Source organism: Homo sapiens, chromosome 4 (genome assembly GCF_000001405.40).
Source record: "Homo sapiens chromosome 4, GRCh38.p14 Primary Assembly".
Lineage (NCBI taxonomy): Eukaryota > Metazoa > Chordata > Mammalia > Primates > Hominidae > Homo > Homo sapiens.
The window spans coordinates 3,161,312-3,182,721 of record NC_000004.12 but is presented as its reverse complement, the minus strand read 5'-3'; the positions used below and the strand labels follow the sequence as shown (position 1 = coordinate 3,182,721).

General features: G+C 42.6%; 1 protein-coding gene across 2 annotated transcripts in view; it reads right to left on the bottom strand.

Annotated features, from left to right (window-relative positions):
* HTT (huntingtin) overlaps positions 1–21,410 on the bottom strand; it is a 169,280-nt gene that overhangs the window by 61,239 nt on the left and 86,631 nt on the right. For both annotated transcript variants that reach the window (NM_002111.8, NM_001388492.1), the window contains 8 exon segments: positions 252–368; positions 2,071–2,207; positions 4,276–4,424; positions 5,335–5,390; positions 7,615–7,776; positions 7,923–8,001; positions 9,591–9,814; positions 10,325–10,402. In NM_002111.8, the coding sequence (NP_002102.4) occupies positions 252–368; positions 2,071–2,207; positions 4,276–4,424; positions 5,335–5,390; positions 7,615–7,776; positions 7,923–8,001; positions 9,591–9,814; positions 10,325–10,402 (1,002 nt within the window).

The following is a 21,410-nucleotide window of genomic DNA, read 5'->3' as shown; positions in this document are numbered from 1 at the left end:
CTGTGTGCTGCCTGATCACCTCCATAACCTCTCGGAGCTGTGGGATCCCCCCTGTAAAGTAGGTGGGCAATACCAACCTGAGATGGCATTGTGAGAAGAAATGAAGTCAGCTGTCCCATGACTAGCACGGAGAACTGCTATCAAGGCACAGATTAGGACTGAAGGAAGAGCTGATTCCAGCCACCCACCTTTCACAAGGACCTTAAGCTACCATCACTATGCAACAACAAGCCAAGGCTGCGGGGACAAACCTGCTGTTTGGCTAACATTGGGAGGATGATGTCAGCTATCTGTCGAGACAGTCGCTTCCACTTGTCTTCATTCTCCTTGTGGCACTGCTGCAGGACAAGAATGAACATCTCCAACACCTATAAGAGCGTGCACAATTAGAAAGTCTGCTGCCAAGAGACGCCTTTCCACCCCTACGTGTCCGTCTGTTATACTTGTCCCAGTTCAGCTGGAAGACTCTAGGATCCAAACAGATGTGATCCCAGCGAGGACAGGGGGACACTAATGCAACCCCCACTCTATGACATGAGAAATGTAGGGGAATCAGAACGAAACACAAGTTCCTCTAGGGCACATACAAGGTGCACACTTTGCTCAGGAGGATTTGCCATCATTGTTATTTGTATAGAATTTGTAATATTTCACAATCAGAGAAAAGGCACAACATGAAAATCAAATGTATATTAATCTTTGGCAAACTTCAAACACAGCCTTGACTAAACTATTCTGCAGGTGGCTCATTGCCTTTGTGGACATTCACTTCAATTCTGTGTTCTCTGCAGAGGCAATCTACTGAAGAGCACCTGCTTCCCAGAGGTATACATGGTTGAGCACAAGTTTATTAGTGATCATTTCTAAACAGACATATCCAGAGCTCACTGAACATGTGGCTGATGAACTCCTCTCCATGACACCCACCCACCCAAGCAGCTCTGCCTGCCACCACCTGCTTGCCAGTTGCTCATTTTCAGACCTCTTTATGATACATGTACTTTTGCATTGCAATTATGTGATTTAATTAGGCATTAAGTATTTAATTAAATACTACAGGGGTTCATTAAAATATGAATGAACAAAGAAAGTGCTGCTTCTTATGAGAAAAGCTATGGCTTTATGAAGATTCAAAGACAAACAGCTAAAAAGAATTGACAAAATAAGTGAGGGCTAGACAACAGTGCAAGTTAAAAGAAAGGAGAAGTCATTTAAAAAGAGAGATTTCTGCACTCAGCCTTCCTCAAAATGTCTTTGAATTCTTATGCCACTTTAAGAAAACAAAACCAGAAATCAGCTCAAAGAAAAAGACCTTAGCCCTATGTCAAAATAGTGGTAAATAAATATACAAATAAAGTTTTTATTTCAGAGTTGAGATTTCTATCATTTTAAGGTTTCTACCATCTTGACCAACACTGTCAATTGATTTTTGGTCCTCGTTTTGGAAAAGAGGGCCTCACTATCTTGAACGATCTCGTGACTCTCAGACCAGGAGTCAGGTGAACTCCTGTGGCTGTGCCCACTTTAAAGATAAACACCAGGCTGGGCATGGTGGCTCACGCCTGTAATCCTAGCACTTTGGGAGGCCAAGGCAGGAGGATCACTTGAGGTCAGGAGTTCGAAACAGCTTGGCCATCATGGTGAAACCCCATCTCTACTAAAAATACAAAAAAAAAAATTTGCTGGGCATGGTGGTGCATGCCTGTAATCCCAGCTACTCGGGAGGTGGAGGCAGGAGAATTGCTTAAACCCGGGAGGTGGAGCTTGCAATGAGCCAAGATCGTGCCACCACACTCCAGCCTGGGCGACGGAGAGAGACTCCATCTCAAAAAAAAAAAAAGGATACACACCAACAACACCTCCTGCCACTGCACCTCCCCAACTCCACCACACCCCCCCACCCCCCGCCTCCCTCCCCATCCCCCTGCACCGGCATCTACCCAGGCCCCAGAAAGCCCAAACCTGGTTCAAAGTAACACAGTTAACAGTGAGCGTTACCACATGGCACTTCCTTCCATCTGCACGGGTCAATAAAGTATCCACGACAGTTCCAACATACATTCCTCTTACCTGATGGTACTGGATGAGTCTCAGTAACATTGACACCACCACCTCTTTTTGGGTTTCAAGCTCTTTTCCTGCATCAGCTTTATTTGTTCCTCTTAATACAAAGAGGTCGTGGACTATGGGCTGCAGAGCCGGTATGGCTGTGGGGACAAAAGGGTACCCTTATCAGGCATTTCATGGAAATTACATTTGGAAAACTGCTCTCAACATCTACAAAATGCTTTCAAGAAATAAAGAAAACCCTTACACATACTTGGTTTATGGTAAGAGATGAATTAAGGTTATCAATCATTATACCATGTGGAAGGTCAAAGCTCTTCCTCTGAACACTGATCATTTTGTGATGACTTCTAAAAAAAGAAAAAAAACCTAGGGCTCCTATAATTTAACACCACTTCTGAAAAAAGGTGACTCAAATTCAAAAGTCAATTTGAAAATGATAAAACTTTCCAAATAACCAAAACAGCAACATTCCTGGTCTCAAGAATAATCTACTTGATTCATCTGAAAAGACAATAAAGACTTCCACATAATACATTTAGTCAAAGCCACTGGATTATTATGCTTTTTTAAGTAAACTCACTCTGTCATTAGATAGATAAGGGACTTTCCCCCAAGTCTTATTTTGGTCTAACACAGGAGTCAAAATAAATTAACTGGTCTACTATGACCACATATAAAAAAATATAAGAAATGCCTTTCATTGGCACACAGGCACACTCTGACCCTCAATGTCATGAGCACATAGGAACACTGACCCCTCAGTGACACATACGCTCACACATGAGCACACACACAGAGGCACACTCTGACCCCCTCAGTGACACATACGCTCACACATGAGCACACACACAGAGGCACACTCTGACCCCCTCAGTGACACATACGCTCACAAATGAGCACACACAGAGGCACACTCTGACCCCTCAGTGACACGTATGCACACACATGAGCACACACACAGAGGCACACTCTGACCCCTCAGTGACATGTACGCACACACAAGCACACACACAGGCACACTCTGACCCCTCAGTGACACACACACACGTACACACACACACACGCGAGGCACCCTCTGACCCCTCAGTGAAGGGCACAATGCAACCCTCTTTGACACACACACAAACACTCTGACCTCTCAGTGACACATACTCTCTCCGGCCCTGAGACATGCACACACAGGAATACTCACTGACCCTTCGGTGGCATGCACGCATGGGTATACTCTCTGACCCTCTCACAGATGACCAAGCTTCCCAGCACAAAGTACTGGGTGTGGTTGCCTACTGATTTTCTGTCCAAAGACCCTCCAAGTCCAGGAAACCAAACACCTATGCCTTTAATAATCTATACTTTGGCTGTGTGAATCTGAAGCCCTTGTGAGGCCGTGGCAAACACTAACTGGCTTAGCTATGTAAACACTGAGAGGTCAGCCAAGGCCCTGCCTCGCAACACAGCCCGGTTGATGCTCTTCTGCACACACGCTGAGTCGAAAAGACTCTAAGTAGTAGTGCCATTCTCACATCTGGGAGTTTGCAAGGGTCTTAGGATGTGTCCCTGTCAAAGTTCAAAAGCCTACAGATTCCAGCAAAGGAGTCAGGGAGGGGTCAATAGGGCAATGCTGGAAGATCAGTTCAAAAAGCTCAAAGAAAGATTTGCAACTCATTCATAAAACCACACTAGCTCCTTCCACAGGCTGGGGGCTTGCACAGCTGGCCATCTCCTGGGTTCCTTATTTAAGCTCCAGCAAAATCATCAGGCAAAACAGAAAGCCCTGAACCCAAGTCAAACTATATCTCCAATACCACTGGATGAGAGATCAAAATTTAATTCACGGCAAGTTCGATTTAAGAATTTTTAGTGTTGCATCGCTTCTTGGCCTTTTGGCTAAGATCAAGTGAAGAACTTTTAGCGTTTCATGTGAATGAACAGGAACTTTATATTCAGAATCTATCTGTACCTTAGGTTATCTTACTGTTTCTTGAATTTTTTTCCCTGAGAAGATTACAAATTGCTGAGAGTAAAGAATATGCTCTCTTCTCTTTTGAAACGTCTCTAACCAGTACCTTCACATACACAGACACACATGCAGAGCCTGAGAAGCACATGGCTGCCACTGACAACGTTCAAAGTGGGTATATGAAAACGAACACTGCCAAGCACATCACGACACCGAAGACGACAGTGAAAGGTGTGTCCCGTTACCATGTGTCACAGCCTTCCTTCCACTGGCCATGATGCCATCACAGAGCTGAATGATTTTAGGAATTCCAATGATCTGTTTTGAATGATAGCGTTCATAAGATAGTAATACCAAGAAGAAAAAGATGTTTGGAATGATTGCCTCTGATTCCCTAAAAACAAAAACATCCATTTAGACCTTTCTTTTAAAATTAAGATACATATCAATATAAGCAACATAAAATAATTCATGATTCAACCTTGACAGCAAGCACACATCAAGCTAACAGGTGTCCGTGATCTACTCTAACCCCACCCCTGCCACAGTGCATCCCATCTGTGCCCTCGCGCAGAGCAGGGACATGTGTAAAGGTTCGGAGGCAGCAGGTAGAAGGCACCCGACGGCACAGGGGCACAGCAGCTACGATCTTCCTAGCTCTCCTCTGCCTCTTTGCTCTTGAAGAAATTGAAACTCAAAAGAGAAACAGTAACTTGCCCCAAAACACAGTGGAGGTGTCATGTAATTAGAATAAACACTATGTTTCCAGACCCCAGGGAATCTGGGAACACTTTCCTTCTGCACTAAATTTTCCTAATTACAATGTTTATTAAGCATTTTAGGTACTAAAAGAATTTTAACTTTTAATAATTATAAACCTGTAATGGACTAGCAAGAAGTATTAAAACCTCAACATCTAGCAAGAAAAAGCTGCAGAGAATACAAATGCATAATAATTACTAAAGACAACATTATATAAAACTGCTTTCTCTAAGAAGATTTAAAAACTAGTGCTCCACCACAAGATTTCATTCCACCATCTGTCAACACAATTAAATGCTTTGAAATGTGCAATGAATACTGACAACATATGGAATTTTCAGATACATAACTACTTCCAAACAAGTCTTGAGATATACATTAATTTTTAAGAGAAGCAAAAATGCACAGTATGTTAGTCAGATTTCCATTTAAAGAAAACAGCAAAAATGCCTAACAGTAGTTTAAACATTCACTTAATAACCTAAATTACATGTAAGTACACAAGAAGAAGAAAAAAATCTAAAATAATAAAATGCTATTACCTGAACTGGCCCACTTCAATGTATTCAAACTGTTTCAATACAAAGCCAATAAACACCTACAGGAAGGAAAATAAAATTTCACATCAATAATAGGATTAAAATGTAAAAACCAGGCTTCTTTTCCTCCTGCTTATCTGCATAAATTTTAAATAAAATTCTTGACAGCTGATAAATTTGACTATAAGCATAACTCTATTCTGAAATCAGCCTAGATAATTGCAGAACACATCCAGGAATCCCCTCAACAACTTTACTATACCCTGAGGTGAAATCTCATTGGAAAAACAAATAATAAATTCCAAGAGACATCAGACAATACCCAAAATTACACCTTGGGGACTCATCTGTTCACGTTAATGGCAGATAGGGTGGCACAGATTCCCTGAAACTGGTTTAGTAATAAGATACCCAAAGGAGTCGACCTTCGTCCCCCAACCATCTGAGAGGCGACACGTAAGGGCTGCATGGGAGCCAGTTTTGTGTCACACTGTATTCCCTGCAGCTGTCAGCTTTCCCAACCTGACGGGGAGCTTCCATGGATAAAGCATGGAGCATATGGCCTGGTTTTCTCAGAGCCTCTGGGCAGAATGCAAACATACAGCAGGAGCTCAATAAATCTTTATCAGCATAGAGTTCAATGGTTTGTCTGTTCTAGTGTTCTATTCTTGTTCATAAAACTGTCACTGTACTGAATCTTAAGAACTGGGAGAAAGGGGACCGGTTGATGAAAGGCAATCAGAACAAACATGAAACCAGAGCAGTCTTTGTTCTTACTAGAATGGAACAAATCAGGGCTCTGGCTTCCCTTGGGGTACCCGTGCCCCCCTGAGAGCCTGCTCCTCTCAGCCCCTGCTGCCCACAGCCATAGACCAGGGCTTCTCCCCAGTCAGCCTCCTAGTGTCAAAGGAAAGGAAAAGAAGTTCCCAATGACTATTTCCTGAGGAGAGCAATGGCCCATTTAGACGGATTTTCTTCGGACAGGTTTTGTGAAAGAAAGATGAAAGCATCAGGCCAACGCAAAGCCCACCCCTTGATGCCTCCTTCATTAAAAGCAGACCCCAGGCCGGGCGCGGTGGCTCACGCCTGTCATCCCAGCACTTTGGGAGGCCGAGGCGGGCAGATCACGAGGTCAGGAGATGGAGACCATCCTGGCTAACACAGTGAAACCTCGTCTCTACTAAAAATACAAAAAATTAGCCTGGCGTAGTGGTGGGTGCCTGTAGTCCCAGCTACTCGGGAGGCTGAGGCAGGAGAATGGCGTGAACCTCTGAGGCGGAGCTGGCAGTGAGCCGAGATCGCACCCCTGCACTCCAGCCTGGGTGACAGAGCGAGACTCCATCTCAAAAAAAAAACAAAAAAAAACAAACAACAACAACAAAAAAAACAAGCAGATACCACCCCAATACCCACTGTGGAAAATCAGTGTTGACCGAGTGCCCTCAGTTCTCCTAGGGAAACAGACCCTTTCAGGTGAGTAACAGTGCTGACAGGATTAACAGATTTACGTCTAGAAGGAAATAGAGAAGTGTAATATTTCTAACTCACAAATATTCCTACCCCACATAAGAAAGTAGCCCAAGATCACGGCTCAAAAATGACAGTTAAATTTTGACGATGAAAAGGCAGTTTCATCTGCAGTGATTTAACTGGGACGAATCTTGAGGAAAATGTGCATCATGAAGGGACAGGACTAGCCAGAATCTGGTGCCCACAGCAACTATAGGAGGAAGGTAATGCAGTCAAGAGGGGAAGCGTGCAAATGCTTGTGCAGAGCCACACAGCTCCCACATGGACTCCAGGAGCACGGGTCTCAGTTACTGTCCTGCTAAATTCCATTCCTTTTTAAAGAGGTAAGTGAACCTGTTAGATAGCTTGAAACTGCAGATGATCAATTATGGTAATAATTGATAATCTGTTTAAACTAACTCTAGATTTTGCAAAAATGTTCCCCAAACAATAAATCTTAATTGTATCTCACAATTTAAATTCAAACTTATTTTGGAGGGGAGGCAAGTGGATGGGACAAACCTTTGGAAATCCCTAACAGCCAACCCCAGGTTAGCCTTGAGTCCAGGGAGCTGGGGCAAGGATGCTGACTTGCTGAGGCTGGCTATGCCCCAGGCCTTCTGCACCAGCTAGGTGCATGAAAAAGATAAGCAGCAGCAACTGATGAGGGAAACATGCAGACCACATTTCTTTAAAGTAGATTTCAGTGTCTTTTAGGGTAATTTGTACTAAATTAGGAACAGGTATGATGGATGAAAGATAAAAGTGACAAACCTGATCTGAATCCAGAAGACAGTAATTAACCCGTAACTGAACCAGCTGCGCCAGCAAATCTAAAACCTGCTTCTGTAACTGCACACATGTTGTAGTCGTGTACTGTTTTAAAGCTTTTATAACAAGAGGTTCAAACAAACGAATGTGATTATGAATAGCATTCTATAAAAAAGAAAAAAAGAAAGAAAGAATCCATAAGTAAGCCTTCAACTAAAAGCTTCAAGCAAAATACCTGGAAAGTCTCAGCTCCAGTTTCCTCTCTAGCACTGACACGCCTGAGTTCACATGCCACAAACGGCACCATTTACCTTATCTGCACGGTTCTTTGTGACACTCGTGAGGTTTGTCTTCAACTGGGTAGACACTTTCTGGAGGACATCAAACCATCTGCCAAATGGGAATAAAAGGGAAGCAGAGAATGAGAATATCTTTAAATAATCTCCTCTGCACTCAGATATACTCCTGCTCAAACCAATTTCACATTCACACGATCAGAACGTGTCAGATTGAGAAACAACTTGAAAGGCCACTCAGTGTGGCAGCATCGCCCTCTTCAGATAATGACACTCTATTTAGAGTTTACAGCTGCCTGACAGCCATCAAGTCTCCTCACTCGCAGAAGGCTACTCAAGTCTGAGCTTTTTTCTGCTACAGGAAACTGACTACTCAGCCCAGTCTTAAGTGAGATTTGAGAGAAAGGTGAAGGTCATTTAAAAGATCAGTAATTTAGAAGAAATTACATGATTTTTTTGGAGGACAAGCCTTTAAAATATTTACATCAATGATATCCCTTCTAAGAAACATATATGAAATTAACCCAAACATGCACACACTCACATGCTTATTAATACCCCAAATGGTTACAGAAAGCATTGAAACAGACTTACTCCTGAAACTCCAATATATAGTAAGTACATCACTAACATACAGCCTGGAACATGGGTATTTTCCTTGACTCCTGACTCTAGTGTTTTAATTGTAGCTATTTAATCGCTAAATTTATAAAAGGAAAAACAAGGGATTCTATTATTGCTACTATACAGATTAGCAACTCAAATACCTGTTCATACTTAAGGCAATTTAAGAAGTCCTGTATACTAGGCATTAAAAACACAAACATAAATTTAAGTGAAAAGAGGCCGGGCGCGGTGGCTCACGCCTGTAATCCCAGCACTTTGGGAGGCCGGGACGGGCAGATCACGAGGTCAGGAGATCGAGACCATCCTGGCTAACATGGTGAAACCCCGTCTCTACTAAAAATACAAAAAAAAGTTAGCCAGGCGTGATGGCAGGCGCCTGTAGTCCCAGCTACTCGGGAGGCTGAGGCAGGAGAATGGCATGAACCCAGGATGCAGAGCTTGCAGTGAGCTGAGATTGCACCACTGCACTCCAGCCTGGGCGACAGAGCAAGACTCCGTCTCAAAAAAAAAAAAAACAAATTTAAGTGAAAAGAGACTTCTAGTCATAAAGCTGACAAAACACAAGGTAATATATCCAAGATGCTTCTATGGCCTTCACACACCTCTGAACACCAGCACTACTGTGCTGCTATGAAGCTGTTCTTTCATCCTTGTTACAGGCCTGAAAAGTGCCACCAACACATGCCACACCACTCTACAGGTCCTGTGCTTTGAATGGGTGGGGACATTATGAACTGCATTCTGGTTTGCTGACACACTTTGGCAATGAGAGCTGGCTGCTTCTCAGCCCACTCAGTGTTCCTCCTCCTCTACCCCCACCTCTGAGATGTGTAAGTCCCAAGCCCATCTCACTCACTGGCCACACACTTCTTGGAAGGCCGGGCTATGCCTTAAATCATCTTTGCATCAACCATATATATCTCCTAGAGTTCTCTGAATACAGCAGACTATTAGAAGATGTTCGCTAACATTTTTCGTTTTTATTCTTTTACAAAGTATTTCCTGCTTGCTCTTTCGTGCTTCCACCAACGACAGCATTCTTGCCACAACTGTTACCCCGAGGTGTCGTTCTCCTGCTCCGCCTGCACCATGTTCCTCAGGCTGGCGTCAGCGAGGGCCTGGGTGAAGTGGGTGTACGGGGCCATGAAGCAGTAGTGGTACAAGCCTGGCCTCACACTGGAGGAGCCAAGGCGCTGTGCTCGGCCTTGTGACTTGCTGGGGTTGGAAGATAAGCCATCAAACTGGGAGGCCAAGTTTGTGCCAAAGAGAGTCTTCAACAACTACAGTGAAAAAAATGAGGCATCAACAATGTGGCGTGAACAACACTTTTAAGAATCTCCCACACAAATATCAAATCCATCTGTAAATAACTGGATATGTTAGCAAAGACTCACAGCGTGAAATTCTTCCTGTGAATCACTATTAATACCTCATGAGATATTGTATGAAGTGCTGTTTGTACCTTAAATAGGCGTTTTGGGTTTCCTTGCAATTCTAAATGAGATTGAGCATTCTAAACAGAAACTCCGAGGGACTGGAAGTTAACTAGCGAGGTTGCAGAGGAGCTTCTGGTGTCCTCTGCCCTCCACAGTGACAGACCTCGTCCTCCTGGGGAGTGAAGGGAAGGATGGCCTCTTGGCTCAATCATGGACTGAGCCAAAAAGTGCTGCGCTGGACCCCACAATCCTCCCAGCTGATTATGCCAACAGCGCCTGCCTCTTAAGGAGTAGCAGCGTTTTGCTGTCATACCCGAACGTCTTAACAGAAGAGGAAAAGAATGAAGCTCTTACTTGTTGAACACAAACAGTTGCCATCATTGGTTCTCGACTAAAGCAGGATTTCAGGTATCCTAGGATCTCTTCAACACACTGTAGAAAGACAAGTGAGACATTAAGCGACTCAGAGATGACCCGTTATTGTACGAATCCTAGACAGAAATTGAAGGTACAAGATAACTTCCATTTAAATTGTGTAAATAGTAGAGGAAAATCAGAGGAAAGTTTTCAATTTCTTATTTTGAACAGTCAGTAAAAAGTCTTGAAATCCAAGTTATATACATTACAACCATTCTTTCATGCATTTATGTATCTGTTCATTCACTCATTAATTCAATAAACTGTTATCAAGTACCTGTTGTCTATTAGGTATCCAGTCCTGTTCGCAGGGCAGGAATTCAGAAGTGTGCAAAGCAGCTAAGAGCCCTGCATCTGTAGAGCCCCTGAATATGTTCAGTGAACACAACTATGATACAGCAATGTGTGATTTACCACAAATCAGTCCTAGAATTGTCTTAAAATAATCTGCAAAAATGACCAAATAACTACCTTAATGTTACTCTTCTCACAAGCATTTTTATCAACATCTATAACGAGATGTACAGCACCCAATGTCCTTTTCAAGAATCAAGAAGGGGCTGGGAGTGGTGGCTCACGCCTGTAATCCCAGCATTTTGGGAGATCGAGGCAGGTGCATCACTTGAGGTCAGGAGTTCAAGACCAGCCTGACCAATATAGTGAAACCCCATCTCTACCAAAAATACAAAATTAGCCAGGCGTGGTGGCGCACACCTGTAATCCCAGCTACTTGAGAGGCTGAGGCAGGAGAATCGCTTGAACCAGGGAGGCAGAGGTTACAGTGAGCCGAGATGGCGCCATTGCACTGGAGTTGTTACCTGGGCAACAAGAGCGAAAGTCCATCTCAAAAAAAAAAAAAAAAGAATCAAGAAAGAAGAAGATGCTAACTCAAAGAGCGCCACCATTCTGAATGCCTAGATACCTAGGCATTCAGAATGCACAGCCTGTTTCACCACTGCCTGGCTAATCACGAACTGGTTTCCATCAGCTGCTAAAAGCCAACACCAATTAGACTGAAAATGCCTCTCTCTCCACTTGTTTAACAAAATATCCTCTACTAATAAGCAATAGATTCTTGTTGGTTTCAAATACTCAAGGGCCACACATTTTTAAAATTCTGATATGCTCAAAGTATATTCTAAGTGTTTAAGGTTGTTCTTGTCAGAATTGAATTTGTCACACACCACTTTTTGTTTTTACTAGCTCCCAGCAGATACCCAATACATGTTAACTGAAAAAATTACAAATAGAACCTGTGAATCACTACTTGTCTAACAAAGGACTTTAACAAATGTGTATGGAATGCTTGATGTGCACCAGAAACTGAAGCCCTGGAAAAGGTGAGAAAGCATGCTGTTTCTGGCCTTTCAAGAGCTCCCCAAGTACCAGGGAACCAGGGCTCTGCTACAAATACTAATATCTAATGTAATAGAGTGAGACTTCCACTACTGAGCACAATGAGGGTGAGGGACTGGGTTTACCCTCCTGCCTGAGACAACCAAAGCAAACCAAAAAACAAAACAGACAAAACCCAGAGTCCTCAAGACACTGGACATGAGCAATGAAGGACAGTGATCCCTGGGAGACGAGAGACTAAGTCAGCCCTATGGCTGCCCCAACTCGCTGCTTTGAGAGAGTTCCTAGGCTGTGGCACAAGGAGGAGGGACAGGCAACCCTCTGAATTGAAGAGGTGCTGAGAATCTAAGGAGACCAAGACAGCCACAGTTCATAAGACAGAGCACCAGAGAAGAGAAAACAAGACAGAGAGAGCTCTGGAGATCTGGGGAAGGTCCCTCTCGAGTACTCAGCAGAGATATGTGTGTGAGAAAACTCCCTGAGGCCAGGGAAAGAAGCATTGGAAAGGATTAGAAGGAGCAGAGCTCAGCGCTCACACAGGGCTAGAAAGTCACTGTTCTCAGCAGGCGGACTGGAAAACCCAAACTTTCTGGTTCATTAGGTAGAGTACTCAGGATGGTCTTGCCTCCTAAGCATGGTACCTAATTATTCCTAAAGAGGAATAATTAGTCCAAAAAAAAAATTAGTCCTAAACTAAGCACTGCTCCAACCCATCTGACAAATTATAAAGCAAGACCCAAAAGAGTAAACCATCTATATGTAACTCAACTAACCTCAGAACAAAGCTCAAGAAGATCTATGGGAACACAAAAATATATAGCATCCAACAAAGTAAAATTCACAAGGTTGGGCATCCAATAAAAAATTGGCAGCCATACAAAGAGGCAGGAAAATACAACCCAAAACGAGGAGTATCAATCAACCAATGAGAAACACCAAGAACTGGGAAGTTATTAGAAGATCTTAGAACTAGCAGAGAAGGATATTAAAACAGTTATTACAATTGTGTTCACAAAGCTAAACAGAAACACAGGGAGACATTTTTAAAAGACCTAAATCAAACTTCTAGAGATAAAAACAAAATTAGTGATATACACTGAACAGGGGCCAGACACGGTGGCTCATGCCTATAATCCCAACACTTTGGGAGACCGAGGCGGATGAATCACCTGAGGTCAGGAGTTCAAGGCCAGTTTGGCCAACATGGTGAAACCCCATCTCTAATAAAAATACACAAATTAGCCAGGTGTGGTGGCACGTGCCTATAGTCCCAGCTACTCGGGAGGCTGAGGCAGAAGAATTGCTTGAGCCTGGGAGGTGGAGGTTGCAGTGAGCTGATATCGCACCACTAAACTCCAGCCTGGGCAACAGAGTGAGACTGTTTCAAAAACAAAAAAAAAAATACGCTGGACAGGATTAACAACAGATTAACAGATTAACAACAGAGTAGACACTGTAGAAGAAAAGATCAGAGAACTTGAAAACACAATAATAGAAACTATACAAAACAGAAAACACATAAAACAATCAAACACTGAAAAGAGCATCAGTAAGCTATGGGACAACACTAAGCAATCATTCAGGAAATCACAGCCCCTTTAAGAGAGGGAAAAAAGGAGGGAGGCAGGGCAGAAAAAAAATCTTTGAAGAAATAATGGCCTAGCTGGGTGCAGTGGCTCACGCCTGTAATCCCAGCACTTTGGGAGGCCCAGGCGGGCAGATCACGAGGTCAGGAGATTGAGACCATCCTGGCTAACACAGTGAAACCTCGTCTCTACTAAAAATACAAAAAATTAGCCAGGCGTGGTGGCAGGCGCCTGTAGTCCCAGCTACTCAGGAGGCTGAGGCAGGAGAATGGCGTGAACCCAGGAGGCAGAGCTTGCAGTGAGCCAAGATAGTGTCACTGCACTCCAACGCAGGCGACAGAGCGAGACACTGTCTCAAAAAAAAAAAAAAGAAAGAAAGAAAGAAAGAATGGCCTAAAATTTTCCAAACTTTAAAAATACTATGAAGCCACAGACCCAACCTCAATAAACCCAGGCACAAGAAACACAAGATATAAAAAAACTACATCAGGGCATATCATTATCAAATCACCCAAAACAGACAGTATAAAGTCTGTCACCCATGCTGGAGTGCAATGGCATGATCATGGCTCTTTGCAGCCTCAACCTCCCAAGGCTCAAGCAATCCTCCCACCTCAGCCCCGAGTAGCTGGGACCACAGACGCATGCCACTGCGGCCAACTATTTTTGTTTTTCTTTTTGTAGAGACAGTTTCCCGGTTTGCAGATAAAGTCTTAAACCAGACAAAACATATAAAATGGAACAGTAAGGAGTTACATGAAAAATCGTCTATAATATAATGCAAAAGAAAAATCCAATGCATAATACATTTCAATTATGTATAAAAATGAGTATGGAATAAATAAGGATTAGAAGACAAGAAAAAACATTACCTGTCAAGAATGTGGAATTATTATTTTTTATTCCTAGTGTTGCTATTTAGAAAAAGAAAATGATTCTATTTTAATTCTAAAGTCTCTGTGCCTTTAAATCCTGGAACTAGGTAAACTCACAGAAGTCTGAAGAAAACCTGCTCATACCCGTCGCCACATCAAGCTCACCTCTCCAGCTACACTTGTGCTCAGACCTCAACACCCAGCCCCGCACACATGCAGAGGCCTATGCATGTTGGTGCAGGGGCTCTGATGCCTTCACCTAAGCAAGGTCACAGATAAGGCTCAATAGTTTGTATATCTCAAGCCTGGCCTGACAATCTAAGCATCTGGATATCTTTCCAGCTGCCTCAGAACTGCTGTGTGGCAGAAAGAGATCTGAAACCTTGCCATGCTGTGAGTCAGTGAGGGAGATTCCTCAAAACAGTCAGGGGCCAAGTGCAAACAAGAACCTGTGAAAGCTTCTACCCTACATATCCCCCTCTAAAAGACCACGGATAAAAACTCAACAATTAAGCAGGTGAGGCTTCCAAAGTACAAACAAAAGGATATGCGAGAAAGCTAAAATGGGCCTCTGTCTTGAAACAGCAAAAAAGATGAACTTAGAAAAACAAAAAAGGAGAGGTGAGTAAATCTACCTTTAACTGTAAAGACACAGGCCAGAGAATAAGATGCTTAATTATCCAGTTATTCTTATGCCAAATGTAAAAATTTTCAGAGATGAGCTTATTATCTTTATGTACCTTTAAAAATATATACATACACACACAACCATATGGCTGATTTCAAGAATATAAAGATCAACTAACATCAATCTTCATTAAATTGTGACTTATTAATAATTTACTTTTATTATTTGGATAAGGCAGCATTTGATACATTCACTGACTGTAACTGAAAAACAGCCATTTCTATATATGACAGTCATAATAATAAGGTTAAAAAAAAACCCACATACAAAAAAGAAAATCTTACTATTTAAAGAATCCCAGTTAGATGATTTTTATTTCAGTATAATCTCACGTTCAAATTTAAAACATATAGTATTTTCCATTTTGCTAAAATGTGTTATACATGGAGACTGCTGGCCACTAAAAACTACTTATTAAGCACAGTGGTTTAGGGCAAAGAGAGGGAGATCTGAAAATATGGCTGGGCGTGGTGGCTGACACCTGTGATCCCAGCACTCTAGGAGGCTGAGGTGGGTGGATCACAAGGTCAGGAGTTCGAGACTAGCCTGGCCAATGTGGTGAAACCCCATCTCCACTAAAAATACAAAAAATTAGCCAGGCATGGTGGCAGGTGCCTGTAATCCCAGCTACTCCGGAGGCTGAGGTAGGAGAATCGCTTGAAACCAGGAGGCAAAGGTTGCAGTGGGCCGAGATTGTGCCGATGCACGTCAGCCTGGGCGACAGAGCAAGACTCCACCTCAAAAAACAAGGGATGCTTCCAAAATGGCCGAATAGGAACAGCTCCAGTCTACAGCTCCCAGTGAGATCGACACAGAAGACAGGTGATTTCTGCATTTCCAACTGAGGTACCTAGTTCATCTCACTGGGACTTGCTGGACAGTGGGTGCAGCCCACGGAGGGCAAGCCGAAGCAGGGCGGGGTGTTGCCTCACCTGGGAAGCACAAGGGGTCGGGGGACTTCCCTTTCCAAGCCAAAGGAAGCCATGAGTGACTGTACCTGAAGGAGCAGTACACTCCTGCCCAAATACTGCACTTTTCCCACAGTCTTCACAACCAGCAGACCAGGAGATTCTCTCCTGTGCCTGGCTCAGCGGGTCCCACGCCCATGGGGCCTTGCTCACTGCTAGCGCAGCACTCTGAAATCGACCTGGGATGCAGGAGCTTGGCTGGGGGAGGGGTGTCCACCACTGCTGAGGCTAGAGTAGGTGGTTCTATGCTCACAGTGTAAACAAAGCAGCAGGGAAGCTCGAACTGGGCAGAGCCCACTGCAGCTCAGCAAGGCCTACTGCCTCTCTAGATTCCACCTCTGGGGGAAGGGCACATCTGAACAAAAGGCAGCAGACAGCTTCTCCAGATTTAAACATACGTGCCTGACAGCTCTGAAGAGAGCAGTGGTTCTCCCGGTACGGCATTCAAGCTCCGATAATGAACAGACTGCCTCAAGTGGGTCCCTGACCCCCATGTAGCCTGACTGGGAGACACCTCCCAGTAGGGGCCAACAAACACCTCATACAGGCAGACACCTTCGTGCTCTGGGACGATGTTTCCAGAGGAAGGATCAGGCAGCAATATTTGCTGTTCTGCAGCCTCTGCTGGTGATGCCCAGGCAAACAGGGCCTGGAGTGGACCTCCAGCAAACTCCAACAGACCTGCAGCTGAGGGGCCTGTCTGTTAGAAGGAAAACTAACAAACAGAAAGGAATAGCATCAACATCAACAAAAAGGACACCCACACCAAAACCCCATCCGTAGGTCACCAACATCAAAGACCAAAGGTAGATAAAACCACAATGATGGGGAGAAACCATAGCAGAAAGGCTGAAAATTCCAAAAACCAGAACACCTCTTCTCCTCCAAAGGATCACAACTCCTCACCAGCAAGGGAACAAAACTGGATGGAGAATGAGTTTGATGAATTGACAGAAGTAGGCTTCAGAAGGTCGGTAATAACAAACTTCTCCGAGCTAAAGGAGCATGTTCTAACCCATCACAAGGAAGCTAAAAACCTTGAAAAAAATGTTAGACTAATGGCTAGAATAACCAGTGTAGAGAAGAGCTTAAATGACCTGATGGAGCTAAAAACCACAGAACGAGAATTTTGTGAAGTATACACAAGCTTCGACAGCCGATTCAATCAAGCAGAAGAAAGGATATCAGTGATTGAAGATCAAATTAATGAAATAAAGCGAGAAGACAAGATTAGAGAAAAAAGAGTGAAAAGAAATGAACCAAGCCTCCAAGAAATATGGGACTATGTGAAAAGACCAAATCTACGTTTGATTGGTGTACCTGAAAGTGATGGGGAGAATAGAACCAAGTTAGAAAACACTCTTCAGGATATTATCCAGGAGAACTTCCCCAACCTAGCAAGGCAGACCAACATTCAAATTCAGGAAATACAGAGAACACCACAAAGATACTCCTCGAGAAGAGCAACCCCAAGACACATAATCATCAGATCCACCAAGATTGAAATGAAGGAAAGGGCAGCCAGAGAGAAAGGTCGGGTTACCCACAAAGGGAAGCCCATCAGACTAACAGCAGATCTCTCTGCAGAAATCCTACAAGCCAGAAAAGAGTGGGAGCCAATATTCAACATTCTTTAAAAAAAGTATTTTCAACCCAGAATTTCATATCCAGCCAAACTAAGCTTCATAAGTGAACGAGAAATAAAATCCTTTACAGACAAGCAAATGCAGAGATTTTGTCACCACCAGGCCTGCCTTACAAGAGCTCCTGAAGGAAGCACTAAACATGGAAAGGAACAACCAGTACCAGCCACTGCAAAAACATGCCAAATTGTAAAGACTACTGACGCTATGAAGAAACTGCATCAGTTAACGGGCAAAATAACCAACTAGGATCATAATGACAGGATCAAATTCACACATAGCAATATTAACCTTAAATGTAAATGGGCTAAATGCCCCAATTAAAAGACACAGACTGGCAAATTGGATAAAGAGTCAAGACCCATTGGTGTGCTGTATTCAGGAGACCCATCTCACATGCAAAGACACTCATTGGCTCAAAATAAAGGGATGGAGGAAGATCTAACAAGCAAATGGAAAGCAAAAAAAAAGCAGGGATTGCAATCCTAGTCTCTGATAAAACAGACTTTAAATCAACAAAGTTCAAAGGAGACAAAGAAGGCCATTACATAATGGTAAAGGGATCAATTCAACAAGAAGAGCTAACTATCCTAAATATACACGCCCCCAATACAGGAGCACCCAGATTCATGAAGCAAGTTCTTAGAGACCTACAAAGAGACTCCCACCCGGTAATAGTGGGAGACTTTAACACCCCACTGTCAATATTAGGCAGATCAATGAGCCAGAAAATTAACAAGGATATCCAGGACTTGAACTCAGCACTGGACCAAGCGGACCTAATAGACATCTACAGAACTCTGCACCCCAAATCAACAGAACATACATTCTTCTCAGCACCACATTGCACTTATTCTAAAACTGACCACATAGTTGGAAGTAAAACACTCCTCAGCAAATGTAAAAGAACAGAAATCACAACAAACTGTCTGTCAGACCACAGTGCAATCAAATTAGAACTCAGGATTGAGAATCTCACTCAAAACCACACAACTACATGGAAACTGAACAACCTGCTCTTGAATGACTACTGGGTAAATAACGAAATGAAGGCAGAAATAAAAATTTTCTTGGAAACCAATGAGAACGAAGACACAACATACCAGAATCTCTGGGACACATTTAAAGCAGTGTGTAGAGGGAAATTTATAGCACTAAATGCCCACAAGAGAAAGCAGAAAAGATCTAAAATTAACACCCTAACATCACAATTAAAAGAACTAGAAAAGCAAGAGCAAACAAATTCAAAAGCTAGCAGAAGACAAAAAATAACTAAGATCAGAGCAGAACTGAAGGAGATAGAGACACGAAAAAAAACCCTCCAAAAAAAATCAATGAATCCAGGTGCTGGTTTTTTGAAAAGATCAATAAAATAGGTAGACCGCTAGCAAGACTAATAAAGAAGAAAAGAGAGAAGAATCAAATAGACTCAATAAAAACGATAAAGGGGATATCACCACCGATCCCACAGAAATACAAACTACCATCAGAGAATACTATAAACATCTCTACCCAAATAAACTAGAAAATCTAGAAGAAATGGATAAATTCCTGGACACATACACCCTCCCAAGACTAAACCAGAAAAAAGCTGAATCTCTGAATAGACTGATAACAGGTTCTAAACTTGAGGCAATAGTTAATAGCCTACTAACCAAAAAAAGTCCAGGATGGATTCACAGCCGAATTCTACCAGAGGTACAAAGAGGAGATGGTACCATTCCTTCTGAAACTATTCCAATCAATAGAAAAAGAGAGAATCCTCCCTAACTCATTTTATGAGGCCAGCATCATCCTGATACCAAAGCCTGGCAGAGACACAACAAAAAAAGAGAATTTTAGGCCAATATCCCTGATGAACATCGATGTGAAAATCCTCAATAAAATACTGGCAAACTGAATCCAGCAGCACATCAAAAAGCTTATCCACCACAATCAAGTCAGCTTCATCCCTGGAATGCAAGGCTGGTTCAACATACGCAAATCAATAAACGTAATCCATCACATAAACAGAACCAACAACAAAAACCATATGATTATCTCAACAGATGCAGAAAAGGCCTTTGACAAAATTCAACAGCCTTTCATGCTAAAAACTCTCAATAAACTAGGTATCGATGGAACGTATCTCAACATAGTAAGAGCTATTTATGACAAACCCACAGCTAATATCATACTGAATGGGCAAAAACTGGAAGCATTCCCTTCGAAAACCGGCACAAGACAAGGATGCCCTCTCTCACCACTCCTATTCAACATAGTATTGGAAGTTCTGGCCAGCGCAATCAGGCAAGAGAAAGCAATAAAGGGTATTCAAATAGGAAGAGAGGAAGTAAAACTGTCCCTGTTTGCAGATGACATGATTGTATATTTAGAAAACCCTATTGGTTCAGCTCAAAATCTCCTTAAGCTGATTAGCAACTTCAGCAAAGTCTCAGGATACAAAATCAATGTGCAAAAATCACAAGCATTCCTATACACCAATAACAGACAAACAGAGAGCCAAATCATGAGTGAACTCCCATTCACAAATGCTACTAAGGGAATGAAACACCTAGGAAGACAACTTACAAGGGATGTGAAGGACCTCTTCAAGGAGAACTACAAACCACTGCTCAAGGAAATAAGAGAGGACACAAACAAATAGAAAAACATTCCATGTTCATGGATAGGACGAATCAATATCGTGAAAATGGCCTTGCTGCCCAAAGTAATTTATAGATTCAATGCTATCCCCCCATCAAGCTATCACTGACTTTCTTCACAGAATTGGAAAAAACTATTTTAAACTTCATATGGAACCAAAAAAGAGCCTGCATAGCCAAGACAATCCTGGGCTAGAAGAACAAAGCTGGAGGCATCACACTACCTGACTTCAAACTATACTACAACACTACAGTAACCAAAACTGCATGGTACTGGTACCAAAACAGATATATAGACCAATGGAACAGAACAGAGGCCTCAGAAATACCACCACACATCTACAATCATCTGATCTTTGACAAACCTGACACACATAAGCAATGGGGAAAAGATTCCCTATTTAATAAATGGTGTTGGGAAAACTGGCTAGCCACATGCAGAAAACTGAAACTGGACCCCTTCCTTATACCTTACACAAAAATCAACTCAAGATGGATCAAAGACTTAAACATAAGACCTAGGACCATAAAAATCCTAGAAGAAAACCTGGGCCATAACATTCAGGACATAGGCATAGGCAAAGACTTCATGTCTAAAACACCAAAAGCAATGGCAACAAAAGCCAAAATTGACAAACGGGATCTAATTAAACTAAAGAGCTTCTGCATAGCAAAAGAAACTATCATCAGAGTGAACAGGCAACCTACAGAATGGGATAAAATTTTTGCAATCTACCCATCTGACAAAAGATTAACATCCAGAATCTACAAAGAACTTAAACAAATTTACGAAAAAAAAGCAAACAACCCCATCAAAAAATGGACAAAGGATATGAACAGACACTTCGCAAAAGAAGACATTTATGCAGCCAACAGACATACGAAAAAATGCTCATCACCACTGGTCATTAGAGAAATGCAGATCAAAATCACAATGAGATACCATCTCACGCCAGTTAGGATGGCGATCGTTAAAAAGTCACGAAACAACAGATGCTGGAGAGGTTGTGGAAAAATAGGAACACTTTTACACTGTTGGTGGGAGTGTAAATTAGTTCAACTATTGTGGAAGACAGTCTGGCGATTCCTCAAAGGTCTAGAACTAGAAATACCATTTGACCCAGCAATCCCATTACTGGGCATATACCCAAAGGATTATAAATCATTCTACGATAAAGACACATGCACATGTATGTTTATTGTGGCACTAGTCACAATAGCAAAGACTTGGAACCAACCCGAATGTCCATCAATGATAGACT